The sequence below is a fragment of the Homo sapiens genome, chromosome 20 (genome assembly GCF_000001405.40).
Source record: "Homo sapiens chromosome 20, GRCh38.p14 Primary Assembly".
Lineage (NCBI taxonomy): Eukaryota > Metazoa > Chordata > Mammalia > Primates > Hominidae > Homo > Homo sapiens.
The window spans coordinates 47,851,320-47,871,347 of record NC_000020.11 but is presented as its reverse complement, the minus strand read 5'-3'; the positions used below and the strand labels follow the sequence as shown (position 1 = coordinate 47,871,347).

The following is a 20,028-nucleotide window of genomic DNA, read 5'->3' as shown; positions in this document are numbered from 1 at the left end:
TTTTTATTTTGAGATAGGGTCTCACTAAGTCACCCAGGCTGGAGTACTGTGGCACAATCATAGCTCATTGCAGCCTCTACCTTCTGGGCTCAAGTGATCCTAACACCTCAGCCTCCCAAGTAGCTGGGACTACAGGTGCACACCACCACACCCAGCTAATTTTCTTATTTTCTGTAGAGACAGGGTCTCACTATGTTGCCCAGGCTGGTCTCGAACTCCTGGGCTCAAGCCTAGGCCTCCCAAAGTGCTGGGATTATAGGCATGAGCCGCCATGCCCAGCCAAGGATTTTTTAAATCTCTATGTCCAGGAAGCTTTCCACCAATATCACCTTATGGCTAATTAGCTTAATCATATTTCTTTGCTGAACATCATTATCTGAGATGCCCAGTGTTTATTTTGTGGCCAAGGGACAGGTTTGCGGCTTCTCTAAGCCCTGATTTTCTTGCCTCTTAAAGGTTGCCATTGGAAGGAGATGAATAACGTAAAAGCAAGTACCTAACACAGTGCCTGGTTCAGACATGCTAATCAATAAATCCCTTCCTTCCATTCTGCCTTCCACATTTGCTTCTTTTTTTCTTTCCCTCCTTTCCTTCCTCCCTCCTCTTTGCCTTATTATCCTTCTCCTGAATGACAGAGAGACAATTGCTTTTCAGTCTGTCCACATTTATCCTTTAGTCAGAAAAAAAAAAAGTGTCTGCTTTCAATGGCACACACAGGCAGCAGTGATAGGAGATATATTTACAGAGCAGTCAAAGGGCCAAAGGTTTGCCTCCAACCTCAATACGTGTTTCTTGTCTGATTTATTTGATTTTATTTTTATTTTCTCCAACTTACTATTTGGAAAAATGTTAAAGCTATAGAAAAATTTTGGCCGGGCGTGGTGGCTCCTGCCTGTAATACTAGCACTTTGGGAGGCCGAGGACGGTGGATCACCTGAGGTCAGGAGTTCGGGACCAGCCTGGCCAACATGGCGAAACCGCGTCTCTACTAAAAATACATAAAATTAGCCGGGGCGTGGTGGCGCACCCCTGTAATCCCAGCTACTCAGGAGCCTGAGGCAGGAGAATCGCTTGAACCTGGGGGAAGCAGAGGCGGGCAGATCACGAGGTCAGGAGATTGAGACCATCCTGGCTAACATGGTGAAACCCTGTCTCTACTAAAAATACAAAAAATTAGCAGGACGTGGTTGCAAGCACCTGTAGTCCCAGCTACTTTGGAGGCTGAGGCAGGAGAATGGCGTGAACCTGGGAGGCAGGACTTGCAATGAGCCGAGATCGTGCCACTGCACTCCAGCCTGGGCGACAGAGCAAGACTCTGTCTCAAAAAAAAAAAAAAAAATAGATCTACAAAGTGTCCAAACCATTTTCACCTCCAATAATGTAATATTGATGCAGAAATATAGCTTATACCAAGCTTGTCCAGCCCATGGCCCGCAGGCCACATGTGGCCCAGAATGGCTTTGAATGTAGCCCAACACAATTTTTTTTCTTAAAACATTATGAGATTTTTTTTCTGGCAATTTTTTAAAACTCATCAGCTATTGTTAGTGTTAGTGTATTTTATGTGTGGCCCAAGACGATTCTTCTTCTTCCAGTGTGGCCCAGGGAAGCCAAAAGATTGAATATCCCTGGCTTATAAGTCCAAATTTCGAGCTTTTTTTCCTCATTCTGGGATCCCATGGATGGTCATGCATGGTCTTTGGTTGTCATGACCCATCTCCTAGAACAGTGCACCCTCCTCGTTTGTTTCTCATGATATTGACGTGTTGTTAAGATTTCATCTTGTACCAGAAAATCAGAAAGTCCTCAAAGGGGGCAATCAGAACAAACCACAAAATAGAAGCTGGAAGAATAGGGCTCCCACTGGCCAGATGTAGGAACGTAAGAACATAAAACAATTTCGGTGGTGGCTGTGAATGCATGGAGTAAAAAAGAATCCCTGAGTCCATAACCATACTGAAAATAGTGACTGAGAGAACGGACAGTTCTTCCTGGAGGAAGGCCTGCTGGTAAATGTACAAGACCATTTGCAACCTTCAATGTAATCATTGTACGTAGACCATCAGTGGATGCAAAACCACTGGGGGAAGATTTTGACAAACAGGGTGTCCACAAGGTCCCAAAATATCACCACACATGTTATTTGGCAATTTCAAAGGGAAAGGGATCCTTTACAACAGAGAACTCTGATGGCCAGCACCTTAACCAAGCACCCAACTCAAACTCAGCACGAGACATCATCGCCTGGCTGCGATGAGCCAGGCGGAGGCTCCTTCTGCAGCAATCCTGGCCACGGTGTTGGGGCTGAACCTCCCCCAGGGAAAGAAGGAGACTCACGCAGACTTCGGGCCCTCCTGCAGGCCAGCGGTCCGGGCTCCCATCTAACCTCACTCGGGTGGCCCATAGACACGCTTTGCTTTGAGCCCTATCTCCTGCCAGGCCCTGTGCTGGTGCTGGAGATGTGGAGATGGATGCTTTGCTTTCAAGGATGGGGAAGATGGTCGAGTCTGTGACCGGGGTCTTGGGCACTTGGACAACTTCCAAAACAATTGTGACACCTCCACTAAAGGAAGAAATGAAAATACACGTATCTGTTGTTTCTTCTCCTGAACAAACCAGGTGGAACCGTTTCAAAAAAAAAAAAAAATGTGTCGCTAGAGGTACACTCAGGAGCGATTTGTGGGCTCTTGGTCATCCTATCAAGTGAGATGCCAGGGGTAATAGGGACCATTATCGTCACTCTGCCGTCAGGATTCATGACTGCAGCATCAAAGGGTAGCTGTACAAAAGCATCAGAAAAACACCCGGTGTAATGGGAGCTTTTATCAGCGGTCTGAGTCCCTCTCTGGAGCTGCCGCTGTTGGGAACACTAACTTGGCTGCAAACAGTAGCAACAGGCTTCGGAGTCAGCCCAGAAGCAGCAGGAGATGGAGTCTGCATCAGCCAAATCAGGGGCGACTTTGCCTGGGATCTGGGTTCTTTAAAGATGCCAAATATCCATCTCAGAAGCCTGCAGAGGCGGACCCAGGAGGCGTCACTCACTCAGCGCATATTTAAGCAAGGCCGACTGTGCTCCAGGCACAGTTGTAGTCTCTGGCCACAGCAAAGAACAAAACAGACCCCTGTCTTCAGGGAGCTCATGACCCAGAGGATAAGCAGGTGACAGCCCAAGACAGTGCACAAAGCAGAAGCTGGTGGTGCCGCGTGGGTCCCGCAAGCCTCACCGTCTTTGCCCTACCATGGCTTCTTGCTGCCCCTGCTCTCCTGCGGGGCCTCCTCGGGCTGCAGGAGCCTGTGTGACCTGGGAGTGGAGTCCTGGAAAGCTGCCCTGGGCGAATGGAAGCTGCAGGGGAGCAGATCTGGCCTCCCCGCCTCTCCAGTGCACCCCTCTGAGGCCGCTCCTCAGCGTCTCCCTGAGGTCCCCAGCACAGCTGAGCACCAGTGGCCCACCGTGGGCACCTGCTCCTTATCCCATCAGGATGGGCGTTTTTTCCTTCCCGTCTCCCTCCCCGCGGTCCTGCCCTCTCTTCCCGGGGACTTCTCCAGATGAACTGAGTCACGCCCAGTCTCAAAGGCACCAAGGCCCCGCGGTGCGCATCTGAGGCTGCATCTGCCCCACCTGCTGCTGTGTCGAGGGTTGCACGGGCTCCCACACATGGGTGCTCAGGTTCTGCTGCACAGAATCCAACCTAAGGTGTGCGACACGCAAACTATGTCAGATGGTGGGAAGTGCGCTGGAGAAAGACAGCCCTGGGAAGGGAGGGGGTGGCGGTGGGGGCTGTGATTGCTCATGGACATCAGAGGAGCCCCCGGAGAAGGGGGCCAAAATCCACCTCTGCAGTCTCAGCAGCAGGTGCCCAGGCAGTGAGGGCACAGTGGGTGGACATCCCAGAAAGGAGCATCCCAGGACGGATGGGGCAGAGGGTAAGACCCCGAGGTGGGGAGCTCCTGGCTTGAACAGAGCAAGGCCACATGGGAGAGAAGCAGGAAAGAGACCGGCAGGTGGAAGGTGCCAGAGGCTCAGGGCCCTGTCGACCGGGGAAAGGCTGTGGCTGCACAGAGCGAGGCTGGAGACCCGGGCTCGGTGCTGGCCTGGCTGATCTGAATCGTTGAATAGAATAGACTGAGGTGTGTTTGGACTGCCAGCTGCAAGGCAGAGCCAAACCCAATATGGCCCCATCATCCCTGGCTCAGCTGTGCTACCTGGCCATGCTGGAAGGGGTTTGATCTTCCAGGAATTGCTTCACAGCTCTTTCCTGTCCCAAGCTCTATGCCTGATGTGTAAATTCAGGACCCAAAAGGGCACAAAAAAGCAATAACTACTAAATATAAGGAAAACAACTCTGTATACAGCATGTATAAAGAAAAGCAAGATATATTTGGGGAGATAAAAGTTGTAAAGGCATTAAGATGTGTGTTTGTTGAGAAAAAATAAATTTGTGCATTTAAGAAGTTAAAAAAAAAAAAAAAAAGAATAGACTGAGGTGGAGGCTGAGCAGGGAGACCAGGGAGGGCCGCGGTGTGATCATCCTCCGAGAGCAGCCAGGCAGGGACTGCAGCGGGAGAAGACAGGAGGCCGGAGTTCGGGAATTGGTCCATGTGGACAGCAGATGGACAGAGGTGCTGAGCGGTCAGAGGGTGGGTGCCAGGGGAGGAGAGGAGCTGGCCATGCCGGCCTGAGCACCTGGGCAGGAAGAAGGGCCATCATGGAGGTGGGGGATGCAGGGAGAAGGCGGCCAGGGAAACCCACGACTATTTGAGTTGGAGACAGCCCAACCACAGCTGATTGCATGAACCTGGACATCAAGTAAAGGTCTGGGCTGGGCACAGAAATAAGCATTTAAAAATAAAAATAAAAGGCTACTCCTGATGTCACAGGCAAATCTCATCAAAATCCCCAAAACATGACACATGATACTTTTCGTCAACCGTGGAACCCCTCGATCTGAGGAATGCATGGACTTGATGGTGAAAACCTGGAACCAGGTGGGGAACTCCTGCTGTTGGAGCTGAACCACGTGGATCCCACTGCAGCCCCCACACCAACCCATTGCTCTTGCCTCGGGCTGGGGTCTCCAGAAGCAGAAACTGAGACGGAGTTTTCAGTGGAAGTTGTTTTTAGGGATCAACATTTGTGAAAGGAAGTGGGAGACAGGCCAGGCACGGGGAGACATTGATTATGGTAGAGGTGGTTCCAGCTGCCAGCTGGAGACCGTCTGCTGACCACATGTTGCCACAGCCCAGCAGCAAATCCTTCCTTGAAGGGAGACCCGTATGTTGCTCTTCGTGTCTTCCTCTCTGCATCTGGTCATGCTGTTCCCTTTAGCTAGAATGCCCTCTGCCAACCCAACTCATCCTTCAGGAACCACTTAGCGGGCTCCTGCCACTCCTGCAAACCCCGTCACCTGTTCCCCATGAGCCTCTCACCCAGCCGTAGCCACTTCCCTCTCAGAACTCCCAGAGTGTTCCAGCAATATTTCTCTCCTATTTTGTAGATCACAGTTTTTTGTATAAAGGCGTTCACATGGTCCAAATCTTTATGAATGGAGTCCCCATAGTTATTACAAAGTTGCATAGAGAGATAAAGCCATCACAGTCCAAGAGTTCACTAATGAACTGGCCGATTACAACATTCATCTCCAAAATCCACCTCTTCAGTCTCAGCTGCACTTTGCACTTTTCTCCCCTGTGCCAACCCCAACAGGTCCTCAGAGGCCAGGTTTCCTGAGGGTGACGTGAAAACATCTGTGCACATCATGCAAGTAGATGAAAACCAGTGCCGAATGGAAATGCAAATCTTGCAAAGACTATGGGATTTCGTGAACTTCATGAAAGTGAAATTAGTGAGAACAGCTCATGAAGCCATGGGCACATGAAGACATGGTAATTAGACCAGTTAACGACACACTACCTGATGGGTACTTAAAAAGAGAATTATTTGCATACAAAAGAATTGAGTCCTTTGTGGAAATGAATGAGCTATGAAATATTTTGCAAAACTGAATTTCTTTTATAGAACTGTGAACGTTAAACGTGAAGTGCAGGGGATTTATAGGAAAATGATACCCCCAAATCAATGCCTCCTTCATTGCAATTATGGCATCAATTTTGTTGAGATAAGAAAATACACTTTCTCTAAAACTTTTCATTTCACTACTCAAGATAAAGACTCAATCACTCTTTCCACTCTTTATTTTGAAATATGGTGTCCCTGTCTTAAGTAAATTGACTTTAAGGGACTATTTTTCTTGGTTGACAAAGACCTCCTGTACTTTTCTTATATCTCGTATTCAACCAAAAAGGCCTTGAGGACATAGAATGGGCATGTTTTTCAGCCTGGAACATAATAGATGACAACTAATGTTAAATGAATGAGTAAACAAATTAAACAGAGGCACCCCAGGATGCTCTGTTCACTCAAGCTGGTTAGAGAGAAAACAAAACTTATACCCAACATTCACGATGCTGGCTGAGCTCCCAAGAAACCACCAGGTAACTTAAGACAGCAATTCATTCGAACAGGAAAAGGATGACTTGTTTAGCAAATGATGCCAGAACAACTGGTTTCCTATTTGCCAGAAAATTAAGGCTAAAACTAAAATGCATCCCTGTCTCATGTCTTCTACAAAGTTAAATTCTAACAAGACGAAGACTTCATTGTACGAAGTTAAATTAAAATTTTGCAAGAAAATCTAAGATACTACAGATATAATCTAAAGGTTAGGGATATCTTACAAACCAAGAATGGAAATCCTGAAGCAATAAAAGAAAAAAAAGCATATTTGAATATTAAAATTTTGTACATTGCAAGATTATGTAAATAAAATATACATATACACTATAAATCTGCAAAATTATTGTAAGGCAAATGATAAAGGGTTAATTTCTATTATATACAGAGAGCTCTTACAAACTAACCAGAAAGAGGCAAAGGTTATAAAGAGACCATTCCCAGAAGAGCAAATCTCAATATTTAAAAAAGAAAATTAAGGAAAGATGGGAGGGAAGGAGAGAGGAAGGAAGAAAAAGGAAAAAAAAAAAGAAAAAAGAAAGAAAGTAAAGGAAAATAAAAGATGTTTGAATTCCTCAGTATTCAAGAAATTTCATATTCAACCCTGAGTTATGGCTTTATGCCTAGCGTACTGGCAAAAATTTAAAAGTGCCATAAATCCTATTGCAGCTGGGCTGTGGGGAAGATATACTTTCCTACAGTCTAGTAGAAACATGGAATATACAATCTCTTCTGAAGGCAATCTGGCAGCATTTAGTAAAATTGTTAAAAGTGCATATACCCTGTGTATGCACCCAGCTCTTGAACCGTTGAAAATCCATCCTATTTGTACCAAAATGTACAAAGATACTTACTGCAACGTTGTTCATAGTGGTGCAGAACCAGAAGCAAACAAATTCCCATTTCCAGGGGAATGGCTGAGCACTTTGTGAGTATATTCACTTCGTGACATAATGCACATCTGTTGTAAGGAACTAACTTTAATTTGGAACTATACAAGATGACTTGAAGATATTCCTACAAGATATTGAGTGAGAAAATCAAGATGCAGAAAAATGTATGTCATACAATACCATTTTTTCAAAACAATGACTCATCCTCCCTTAAAAAAAGTTCCTTTTATACCTTTGTATGTGTGTGTGTGAGAAAGAAAGAGAAAGAGAAAGGAGTTCTAGAGAAAGAAATGAGCTTTGCAGGGTTATGGGGTTATAGGAATACAAAGGAAAACATGGAAGGATATCCTGTTTTTTTTAAAATACAAGTTATATTTGGAGATGGAGGGACAGATGTGAGGGGAAAGGTAGAGAAGAAAAAAGTGTCCACACTCCAACAGGAGTCATGTGATCCCTTTTACGTAAATGTACATGTGTGTCTCTACATAAGAACGTTACAACTAAGAAACCATCTGGCCTCACATGTGTAGTGAGGAAGGTAAATCCTAACCTTTGTCTGCCTGAAACAGTGAGGAAGTCAGGAATGAGAAGGGAATCTGAGCCAGAGGATAAACAAGATTTTGACAAGCAAAGTCGGCAGCAAGATGGAAAGAACTCCTGGCAAAGGAAATAATCTTAAACAAAGGAAGGCATTTGGAAGGGCAGGTGTTTTATCCATTCAACAAATGTATTGAGAGCCAGTGTTGTAGGCAGAATTTTCTAGATGGCCTGCAAGATTTCCACCCCGCAGCGAACACACCCGGTATAACACCCTCTCTTTGCATGTAGGTGGGACTTGCTGATAGGATGGGATTTCACTCCTGTGATTAGATTATGTTATGTTGCAGATGTGATTAAGGTCCCTAATCAGTTGACCCTGAATTCATCCAAAGAGAGATTATCTCAGTTGAGCCTGACCTAATCAAGTGAGCTCTTTAAAAGAGAATATCAGGCTTTTTGAAGGAAGAGATTTGAAGCCAGAGACATGCTCTCCCACTGTCCTTGAAGAAGCAAGCTGCTGTGAGTTCTATAGCTATAAGGAAATGAATTCTTCCAACACCACAGGAGCATGGGAGAGGAGCCAAGCCTCAAATGAGACCCCAGCCCCAGCCAGCACTCTGATTGCCGCCTTGGAGACCTTGATCAGAGGGCCTGACTAAGCCATGCCCAGACTTCTCATCTGCAGAAACTGTGAGATCATAAAAGCACATTGTTTTAAGCTGCCAAGTTTATGGCAATTTATTACATTGCAATGGAAAACTAATCCAGTCTGCTTTGTGACTGCCCCCACTCAAGGCTGTGGAGAAACTGCATGGGATGGTCCAGACCTGGCTTTAACCTCATGGGGCTCATGGTCTGGTTGGAAAGAAAATCTACACTCAAGAATTTAAATCAGTGGCTAGACATGGTGGCTCACACCTGTAATCCCAGTGCTTTGAGAAATCAAGGCAGGAAGGTTGTTTGAGGCCAGCAGTTCCAGGCCAGTCTGGGCAACATAGCAAGACCCCCATCTCTACAAAAAATAAATTTCAAAAAATTTTAGATTAAAAAAAAACCATGTGTGTAGTTCTAACTACTCAGGAGGCTGAGGTGAGAGGATCCCTTTATTAAGGCCAGGAGTTCAGGGTTGCAATGAGCTATGATCACACCACTGTACTCCAGCCTGGGAAACAGAGTGAGACCCTGTCTCTGAAAAAAAAAAAAACAGTTAAATCAATAAACAAGCTAGTTAGGAAAAGACTTTGAAAAAAATGAGCATGGCTTTGAGTCAGAGAGTAATTGGGGTGGGGGCTGCATTAGCACGGCTGGTGGTCAGTGAGGGCTTTTCTGAGACTATTTTGATGCCAAAATCCCAAGAAAGAGAAGAAACCGGCTGGTCAAAGAGCTGCAGGAAGAGCAATCCCAGCAGAGGGAACAGTATGTGCAAAGTCCTGGAGGCGCAAAGTGTGGTCCTATTTGACAGACCGTGTGTACAATCACTTCTCACTGAACAAACCTCCAGTTGTGGGTTTAGACTAGCACCCTTGAATAACATCTACCATTTCACATATTAAGCTGATTCTACAATGCATACAAATATCTTCATAGTCACAATCTATACAGCTGTGGTCATCTATTGGGGGCAATAGGGGGCTCTCCAGATGTAACCCATAGCTGGAATCTAGTGCCTAGTAAGCCATAGTATGGGTTTGGGGGGTGCAAGGAGGCACACACAACACCCGGGATGTCTGTTTTCTTTTTATATACTTTTCATATACTTTTTACGTATATGTATTTCGTGTGTGTGTGTGTGACAGGGTCTCACTCTGTCACCAGGCTGGAGTGCAGTGGCACAATCTCAGCTCACTTCAACCTCTGCTTCCCAGGCTCAAGCGATCCTCCAGCCTTAGCCTCCCAAGCAGCTGCAATGACAGGCGCAAGCCACTATGCCTGGCTGATTTTTGTATTTTTTGTAGAGATGGGGTTTTGACATGTTGCCCAGGCTAGCTTCTAACTCCTGAGCTCAAAGCGATCCACCCACCTCGGCCTCCCAAAGTGCTGGGATTGCAGGAGTGAGCCACCGCACCCAGCCACATATGTGTATTTCTTTTTACAGCTGCCTGAAATTTTGGCAGGGAGCACTGATTTTTCCATTATAGTAATGATATAATGTCAGCTCTATGAGGGTATAATTTGCATATAATAAAAGCCACCAATTTTAAGTGAACATTTTGTTGAGTTTTGACAATTGTATGCAGTCATATAAATAACCACCATAACAATCGTAATCCAGAATGTTCCCTCATCCCAAAAAAGTTTTCTCCCACCCCTTGGCAGTCAATCTCTTCTCTCCACTATCAGCCCCTGGCAACCACTACTCTTTGTCACTTTTGTTTTGAATTTTCTAGAATTGCATGCAAATGGAACCGCATTGTGCCTGGCTTCTTCCTAAACATACTATTTTGTTGTTGTTAATACATGTGTTTGGTGAGTGAGGAGGGTAACAGAAGTGAGAGAGACAGCGGTGTGCACAGCTGGTATAGGCTTGGAGGCTGAATGCCACACAGAGCAACACAGACACACAGACAGACAGTCCACCCAGCAGGGCAGGCCGGGCAGCATTCTGGGGCCTGTAACACTCGGTTGATCAGTGAGAGCCGGCAGGAGGTCTGGCCCAGGGCTGGAGGCACCCAGGCACCCTGGAGACTCCCTTGTCCGAGGTCCCAGGTGGTGTTGGTGGTGGCAGTGGGGCTCAGCTCACACCATTCAGGGCCTTGCAGGCAAACCTGGGCAGCACAAAGGCTGTGCGGTGTGTGTCTGGGCTGTGGCATTTCAGCTGCATCTGCCCCACCTGCTGCTGTGTCAGGTGCTGCACCAGCTCCCGGTCACGGGTGATCATGTTCTGCCGCACAGCATGAAGCCAGTCTGGCTGCAGGGGTAGATGGGGACCATGCAGTAGGTGTAGCCCACCACGGCTACTGGCAGAACTGCCACATCTCCTTATGAGGTGAAGGTGCAGCCACTGGTGCTCTCCCTGGCAGCAGAGAATGCTGTCCTCCGCGAGGGCCACCTTCACCTTCATCTGCTGACAATAGGCTTCCTTGAAGAGGCTTTCAGCCGGGCCCATGTGGTCTGAGAAGTCAGTGATACATCAAAGGCATCCTGGTTCTGCTTCATGAACTCAAAACTGTCACCCACATGAAGGATCAGCTTTGAACTAGAGTAGCAACTGGCCATGCCTAGCAGGAACTTCTTAGAGACTTGGATGACATCCTTGTCAATGTCACACTGGACCACAGACTCCATGGAGAGGTGCTTCCCCACCTTGTGCAAGACACCCATCTCTGCCCACGATGATCAGCACCTTTCGTGGCTTGGGGTGGCTGCAGAGAGGCAGGATGGCTACCATCTCCTGGCAGGAGAACTCATCCCTCCCTATGCCCAGGACGATGCCATCCAACACCAGCATATTGCTGTAGGTTTTACTGCAGAAGACAAGGATGTTCTGGTAGTGCGAGTGCTGGTCGTGGAGCAGAGACAAGGCCTGCCCGGACCACAGGCTACACGTCTGGTGGAACGAGACTTCGGGGATGGCAGTGAGGCTGGAGGCAGCAGGGCCCTTAGGGTCAGGCTCCATGGCAGGCAGGCAATGTGGGGCACGGACTTGGGACTACAGGCCACGTGGAGCCACAGCACACTGGGACCGGCTGCATTATACTTTTGAACTCCATTCCTGCTGCTTTTATCGGTAAATCATTTCTTTTGCGTTGCTGTTGAGTAGTATCATATTCCATTGTAACTGCATACACTGGTGTGTTTACCCATTCACCGGGTGATGCGCATTTGTGTTGTTTCATGATGAATAAAGCTGCTATGTGTGGACATATGTTTTCATTTCTTTTGGATAAATACCGAGGAGTGAGATCACTGGGTCAAACAGTGTGAGTTTCACTTTGTAAGAAACTGGGAACTGTTTTGACACAGTGGTGATACCATTGGAACAACCACCAATCATGTAGGAGTGTTCCGTCTGCTCCAAATGTTTGCCAACACTTGGTCTTGTCAGTCTCTCTCAATTTAGCAATTCTACTGGGTGTGTCGTGGCATCACATGGTGATTTTACTTTGCATCAACAAAGACATTGAGCATCTTTTCATATGCTCAGCTGCCACTCATATATCTTCTTTGGTAAAATGTCTGTTCAGATCTCTCATCTCTTTTTAACCAGATTTTTCACTTCTCAACATTGAGTTGGTCTCCATAACCTCCACCACCAGATGTGACTTTCATTATCATGTTATACTGCAGAACAAAAGTGACTCTGTAGATGTAATTAAGATTAAATAGTCAGCTGACCTTCAAATAGGAAGATGATCCTCAATTATCCAGGTGGGCTCAAGATAATTACAGGAACCCTTAAAAGCTAAAAAGGAAGGCAGAGAGATTCAAAGCATGAGTAGGACTCCACCCACCATAGCTAGCTTGAACATAGGGAGGACCACATGGAAAACATGAGAAGGAAATGAATTCTACCAACAACCAGGAAACTTGAAAGAGGACCTGAGTCCCAGATAAGAACCACAGCCTGGCAGATACCCTGATGTTAGCCTGGTCAGATCCTCAGAGGAGAATCCAGCCACATCATGTTGGAAAACCTGTGAGATAAGACATGGCTGCTGTGTCAAACCCCTAAATTTGTGGCAATTTGTTACACAGCAGTAGAGAAGTAATACACCATCTCTTTATTAACAGGAAAAAAAAAACCCATGAAACTTAAATTAGGAGACCCATGTATTTCAACACAAATGAGAGTGCATACTCCTTTGTGGCACTAAAGTATTCACACCTGTGTGTTGCTACGCAAACAAAACACACTTGTGTTGAAAAACTACAGCCAACCCCTTCCAGGACATACACCTCCTACCTGGCCCCCGTGGGCGTTTGAATTCATGACTCCGTTTTTAGAGTTTCTGGAAACTGTCTAAGTTCTCCTCCTCACAGCCTCCCATCCCAGGAAGCCCAGGCCTCTTGGTTCTCAGGGAAGGTCCTGCTCACAGTTTCCAGATGACATCATCCCCGCAGGAGCCAAGGCTCTAGTTGGAGGTGTTTTCTTCCATTCTTTGTGTGTTTTGTTTTGTTTTTTACCTTCTTAGACCCAGGAACCAGTCCAAGCAATGTGTGCTTCCCCAACATGTTAACACAAACAGCCGCTTCCCAAACTGAAGAGGCACATGCTACCTTAATTACGCGGTTGCTATTGAAACACTCAAGTGACAGACAAAACCTTTCATTTGGGGAGAAAATTAATTGTACACAAACAAGAGCACATTTCATCTCGAATTAAATTCTTCAACATTCCCTTGGCAGAGAACCCTCCGGCCGTTTCTCTCCTTTTCTTTTTGGCGTTAAGTCTCACCCCTTTTATGAGAGATTTTCTTGGCAAACAGGGCCAGCCTTTGAGGTCCCAGGAGGGTTTTGCTGTCACTTCCCTTTATTGGTCATTCTGTTGCCTCTGTTGAAGCTTCACTGGCTCCCGCCCACCTTGAGCCATGAACCTCCCACCCCAGCCCTGTTCCTTCCTAACACAGTCCCCTCCCCTCAGCCTCTAAAGTGTAAAACTGTCCCAAGTCCGTAATACCCTGCCCTCCCGAGGCCGGCAGCGGTCCGAGGTAAGCGAATGATTAAACATGATGAATAGCAGAGCGGAAGATGCAGCGTGGTGAAAGAGCTCACTTTAGCTGCAACTCTGAGATTTGTTGCTGAGTGCCACAAGTAATGAAATCATCAATCTTCCCTGAACTAAAAAAAAGGAATCCACCACAGCAAGTTTGAAAAGGGCAGGGAGGAAAAGTCCTGCCTCCTCATTGGAGCAATTTATGGCCTGGTTGCTCTGTGATCTCGCTGCCCAGCTAATCTGCCCCAGACACCCTGGGAACTGTGCAGAGGGGACATCGCTGACCTGTCACCTGCCCAGTTGCTCTGATCCTGAAACTCGCTGACTCACTTCTGGGAGGAGAGGACGGTCTCGGGTCTGTGAGCTGTGTTACAGGCACACCAATGGGTGTTTTCTGGTTCACGCATCATCACAATAGCACAGCCCTTGGCCTGGGCCAGAAAGGTGCATTTCAAAGCTGCCACAAAGGGACTTCTGGGGCAGGCTTCCTAAACGGGAGGGCGCCCAGGCCTGTGGAAATCTGCTCTTCTCCAGTCCTTCTTTCCTTTAGCTGCTCATTAGCCCTGGATCCTCCAGCAGCTGTGACCTGGGGCCCTTTCCACACGTCTCACTGCCCTGGGTTGAACTGTGTCCCTTTCAAAATTCCTTTCTTGGAATCCTAACCTCCAGTACCTCAGAATGTGACCTTCTTTGCAGAGGTAATCAAAGTAAAATAAGGGCCGGGCATGATGGCTCGCACCTGAAATGCCAGCACTTTGGGAGGCCGAGGCAGACAGATCATGTGAGGTCAGGAGTTCGAGACTGGCCTGGCCAACATGGTGAAACCCCATCTCTACTAAAAATACAAAAAATTAGCTGGGCGTGGTGGTGCACACCTGCAATCCCAGCTACTCGGGAGGCCGAGCCTGGAGAACCGCTTGAACCTGGGAGGCAGAGGTTGCAGTGAGCCGAGATCATGCCATTGCACTCTAGCCTGGGCAACAGAGTGAGACTTTGTCAAAAAAAAAAAAATCCAACAAAAAAAAAAGTAAAATGAGGTGATTAGGGTAGGCCCTCATAGAACATGACCAGTGTCCTCATTAAAAAAAATAAGAAGAAGAAGAAAGAAATTTGGGCACAGAAACACACATAGAGGAAAGATGGAAGGAGAAGATGGCCCATCTACAAGCCAAGAAGACAGGCCTGGAACACAGCATTCCCTCACAGTTCTCAGAAGGAACCAACCCCACTGCCACCTTGATCTCAGACTCCTGGCCTCCAGAACTGCAGGACAATACGTTTCTGCTGTCAAAGCGCCCAGTCCAGGGTACTGGGTTACAACGGCCCTTGCAGATGAGCACCCTCACCAACAGACATGTTTCATTTGGCCCTCTCTCTTTTGTGTTTGTTTTTGTTAAATGAGCCAACATTCAAGACTCAAATTATTTTACATAAGAATCTCTTTCATTGAAACTCTAGACACTGGCCAACCCTACATGGCAGGAGCTGAGTGGAGGCCACCCCCTCCCAAGCCCTCCAGAGCCCCCGGTGCTGGCCGCTGTCTCCCTGGCACCAAGACCGGATGTCAGCCATTATTTGTCTCAGGAGGGTTTAGTTCCAGATACCAGGAACAACATTAGCCATGTTAGGCAGAAAGGGATTGAATACAGGGGACTAGGATCCCCCCAAAATCATGAGAAGGGCAGGGGCACAGGCTGCAGTCTGGGTCCTCAGAAGAGACACCCAGAATAGGACCCCGGAACTGATCCGCCAGGGACGTAAACAAACCACATAGCCAGGCACTCCAGAGAAATGGGCTGTGGGGTTGGGGAGCATGAGGAGGAACTGCTGAGTTGAAGAACACACCAGGGGTCAAGAAGCAGCTGCCTCCAAAATGCACCCCCACCCCACTGTTACACAGAGGAGCCAAATATAACCTCTGAGGATTGGCCCCTGGGCTGTCTCTTTCTTTCTTTTTTTCTTTCTTTCTTTCTTTCTTTCTTTCTTTCTTTCTTTCTTTCTTTCCTTCTTTCTTTCTTTTTTCTTTCTTTCTTTCTTTTTTCTTTCTTTCTTTCTTTCTTTCTTTCTTTCTTTCTTTCTTTCTTTCTTTCTCTTTCTCTTTCTCTTTTCTTTCTTTCTTTTTTTTGGACAGAGTCTCACTCTGTTGCCCAGGCCGGAGTGCAGTGGTGTAATCTCGGCTCACTGCAACCTCTGCCTCCCAGGTTCAAGCAATTTTCCTGCCTCAGCCTCCCAAGTAGCTGGGACTACAGGCGCATGCCACCACACCCAGCTAGTTTTTGTATTTTTAGTAGAGTCAGGGTTTCACCATGTTGGCCAGGCTGGTCTCGAACTCCTGACCTCTGGTGATGTGCCCCCGTCAGCCTCCCAAAGTACTGGGATTACAGGCTTGAGCCACTGCACCTGGCCCATTTCTTTCTTCACAGCAAACTGAGCCCCATTACCTCGAAAGCCCACTGGTGCCAAACTCAAATTTTTACACACCTGATTATTTTTTAAATAACCCAAAGAGATTTTTAGCCATTTAGAGCCTGCCTGCTTTGCCTACCCTGCAAAACCTCACGTGACAGCTCTTACTCATGCATTAAAGATAGAAAGCCTTGCCATTATAGGGCCCCCAAATGATCTCTGCCCTTGGGAGCACCCTGAGCCAGAGACTCCTTGGGCTACGCTGCTGAACGACATCACTTCGTCACACAAGCTCCTGCCCCCAGACTTCCCTTGCCCTCCCTGGCTTCTGCTGCGAGGGACCTTCTCTGCTTGCAAACCTGTCAAAGTACTGCCCAGTGAAGCGAGTGTGTGCTACTGCCACCTCATGGTCAGATTTTCCCCGGCTCAGCTCCTAAATCCCTGGAACAAACCCACAAACTGAATGGCCATGCCCTGGAACCCTGATGCAGAAGACCCAACCCTTCCCACTGTGCCCCCGGCTGGAGGCACTCACTGAAGCGGGGGCCTCAACTCCTCCACGTCCAAGAGCCTGGGAAATGCAGGTTTCAGCTTTCCAGCCTTTGCAGCCCCAGAAGCTGACCAGGTGGAGGTGCCCACCCACAGCACTCATCATACACTGACCTCGCTTTCCTGATGCAGGCCCCCTTCATTCATGTATCAGGGTCCAAGGAAGCATCCTCATATCTGCCACATAGTGAGGGCTGGAAAACCAGGTGGGCTGGACTCTGATCCTCCAACTTCCTCTCCATGGTCACCAACTATCCAGGATCGCCTCAAACTCTCCAGTTTTAGCACGAATAGTCCCATATCCCAGGAAACCCCTCAGTTCTGAGCCAGTGAGGACGGGTGGTCCCCATGCTTCTCTCCCGGCAGAGCCACCCCTATTCTTCTGCAAATGATTCCAGTGAACAGCAAGTGTTCTTTGCTAAAAGCGACTGCAAATAATCAGTCTACATCATCCTCCAGATAGAAAGGAGCATTAGTTATGATACAGGGTTTCCCAAAACAAGGTACACATACCTCCAAAGATGATTTGGTTCTTTCACAAATGAATGCTGCTTTTTTTTTTTTTTTTTTAAATGGAGATAGGGCCTCACTGCCCAGGCTGGTCTCAAACTCCTGGCCTCAAGCGATCCTCCTGCCTTGGCCTTCCAAAGTGCTGGAATTACAGGCATGAGCCACCATACCCAGCCTGTGCTGCTTATTTTAATAGTATAAGAGTACTCGGACATTAGACAAAAATAAAACTAGCATATGAAACATATGAATTTTAAAAATTAATATTAGAAGAGATTTATAATGCAAATGATAAAAATTATGACAGCAGTTCGGGAATGTCTGAGATTTGAGAGCTCTGTTGCAGTAGGAAAATCTGAGCCTGGGAGCCTGTAGGTTGGGATAGGCACCCTCCCTCTGCACCTGCTGGTCATGTGACAGTGGACACGCTGCATGACCTTGGAATTCAGCGCCCCATGAGGCCGCCATGGCCCTGTGGGTTCTTCTCCCTCAAATGCAAAGACCAGCCTTGTCGTGGATGCGAGGGTGGGGCCTGCACAGGCTGCCCCCCAGTTCCTGCTTCTGAGACTTCCTGGTGTGGCCCCGGACTTGTCCTCTCTACTCCTGGTCCCCAGCCCCTCCTGTGTCTGAGAACTCCACACAGAGCCAGCCACGAAGGCCCTGTTTGGATTGAGTTAGGTGTCTGCCACTTGCAGCCAAAGGGCCCTAATGGATCTAAATGGCTCTAGACCAGGGGTCCCCAGCCACCAGGCCACAAACCACTACCAATTTGTGGACTGTTAGGAGCCAGGCTGCACAGCAGGAGGTGAACGCCTGAGCTCTGCCTCCTGTCATATCAGAAGCAGCACTGGATTCTCATAGGAGGGCGAACCCTATTGTGAACTGTGCATGAGGGGGATCTAGGTTGCGTGCTCCTTATGACAATCTAATGCCTGATGATCTGTCACTGTCTCCCATCACCCCCAGATGAGACCGTTTAGTTGCAGGAAAACAAGTGTAGAGTTCCCGCTGATTCTGCATTATGGTGAGTTTCATAATTATTTCATTATATTTTACAATGTAATAATAATAGAAACAAAGAGCACAATGAATGTAATGCACTTGAATCATCCTGAAACCATCCCCACCCCCACCTCAGTCCATGGAAAAATTGTCCTCCATGAAAGTGGTCCCTGCTGCCAAAATTTGGGCACCGCTGCTCTAGACAGTCCCATCATCCTGGATCAGGTCCCAGATCACTTCCCTCTGGCCTTGCCGGCTGTACCTTTGCATGTCCTTGTCCTGCTGTCTCCTCCTGGGACCTCCTTCCTCTCTCTCCCACCTACCCTGCCCAGCCCAGCCCAGCTCACATGTTAGCTCCTCCTGGTAGACCTTCCTGACCTCCCTTCTCTGGGCCTCATGGCACCTGCTCCTCTGGACAGGCTCACCTGTGGCCCTGCCTCCTCCTGAACTGACCGACCACAGCAGGGTCTGGGTGATGTTACTTCACCCAGCCAGGGGCTGGAGGAACCACAAGGCCCTCCTCCCTCTGTAGACAGGGTGCTAGACACCTTTCTTGGGCTCATTCATCCTTATAGGCTCCATCTTCCTGTCTCAACCCTATTTCCCCCAACGCCGACATCTTTGGGTTTGTAGCAAGCAGCTTGATCACCTCCCAGCACATACATGGCCACAGGAGGACTCCAGTGATACATGTGGGCTATTGCAGCACGCACTTCATGGGTTGAGGGGTGAACATCATGAGTGTGGGTCTTGCTCAAGTTTTTTGATCATGAGAACATTCTAGAGAAGGCCTGGAAGCTTGAGGCATCTGCCGACATACTCTTAATTATAAATTCATCACAGCTCATAAGTCCCATGTTTGGAGCATCTCCATAGGAACAGTGCGAAGTGACCTTGGATTTGCTCTTGACTCCTTTCTCCCTCACATCACTTCCAACTGATCAGAAAATCCTGCCAGCTCTACTTTCAAAATCAGTCCTGACTCCCACCGCTTCTCCCCACCTCCACCATCCCACCCTGGACCACCAGGCCACCCTCATCTTTCGCCTGGAATATTCCAGAGCCTCCTCACTGCCCCCGCCTCCTTCTCACCCTTTATGGGGCCATTTCTTCCATGACAGCCACAGGGCTCCTGTTAAACCCATTGGATCACGTCCTCTCTCTGCTCAAAACCCCCCAGCGGCTCTGTCATGCTTGAGTCAAATCCACACTCCTCACCATGGCACAAGGTCCTGCACGTGGTCCAGAATCTACCTAATTTTTGACCTCATCCCTGACTTCTCTTCCTACTGCCCACTCCACCCAGGCCCACCAGCTCCTCAGCTTCCTGCAGCCCACGCTCGGCCCACTCAGGTCCTGCCCTCTCTGGGACATTCTCCCCAGACATTTCCATGGCCCGCGTCTTAGCTGAGACTTCATAGAGAGGCCTTTCCCAGCAGTCCTCTTGGGATATCCCTCTCTCCTTATGCCTTTATCCCAAAAGCTGGTTACCTTCTCTCCATACCCCTTATTCACCTTACTTGATGCCCCAGGAGCCTGGTTTCTAGGTACCTTCCCCCAGCCTCCCTGGCTTCAGCCCACAGGCACTCTGGCAGGGGATACAGGACGGGAGTAAAGAGAGTTGCCCCAGGGTGCCAGGCAACAGCTGTGGCGTTGGCAGTAGCTGCAATTCTCAACACCCGCAGCTTCTGCAGCCCCTTCCCCTGGCTCACGTTCAACCAGGTTCTGATACACTACCTCCTCCTCTTGCCCCTTCAGGCCTTGGGAGGCTGGGGCTTGTCCCAGGGGCAGCACCCCCACCTTGGTCCCTGCAACCCAGCTCCACTGCTCATGGTCGCTGAACAGTCTCTTCCTTAACTCTCCCCAGTTCTTCTTTTTCATGAGGTTTTCCTGTCCCACCCTGAAGAGAAGAAGATTTAAAACACCGTCAAATGTGCCATGACACAGCATCAACTCATAAGATA

The 20,028-nt window shown here is 48.1% G+C and overlaps 1 pseudogene, besides 4 other annotated features; it reads right to left on the bottom strand.

Moving 5' to 3' along the window:
• Nucleotides 2,875-3,405: an enhancer, noted in NCBI's record as "H3K4me1 hESC enhancer chr20:46496687-46497217 (GRCh37/hg19 assembly coordinates)". NCBI's record gives its function as "activates a minimal SCP1, AML or CMV promoter by ChIP-STARR-seq in naive H9 embryonic stem cells {active_cell/tissue: H9 hESC(naive)}" and the evidence as "EXISTENCE:reporter gene assay evidence [ECO:0000049][PMID:30033119]".
• SRMP1 (SRM pseudogene 1) lies at nt 10,389-11,631 on the bottom strand (annotated as a pseudogene).
• Nucleotides 13,312-13,371: an enhancer, noted in NCBI's record as "active region_18010". NCBI's record gives its function as "activates an Ori minimal core promoter by ATAC-STARR-seq in GM12878 lymphoblastoid cells {active_cell/tissue: GM12878}" and the evidence as "EXISTENCE:reporter gene assay evidence [ECO:0000049][PMID:35858748]".
• Nucleotides 13,642-13,831: an enhancer, noted in NCBI's record as "active region_18009". NCBI's record gives its function as "activates an Ori minimal core promoter by ATAC-STARR-seq in GM12878 lymphoblastoid cells {active_cell/tissue: GM12878}" and the evidence as "EXISTENCE:reporter gene assay evidence [ECO:0000049][PMID:35858748]".
• Nucleotides 13,962-14,071: a silencer, noted in NCBI's record as "silent region_12981". NCBI's record gives its function as "represses an Ori minimal core promoter by ATAC-STARR-seq in GM12878 lymphoblastoid cells {active_cell/tissue: GM12878}" and the evidence as "EXISTENCE:reporter gene assay evidence [ECO:0000049][PMID:35858748]".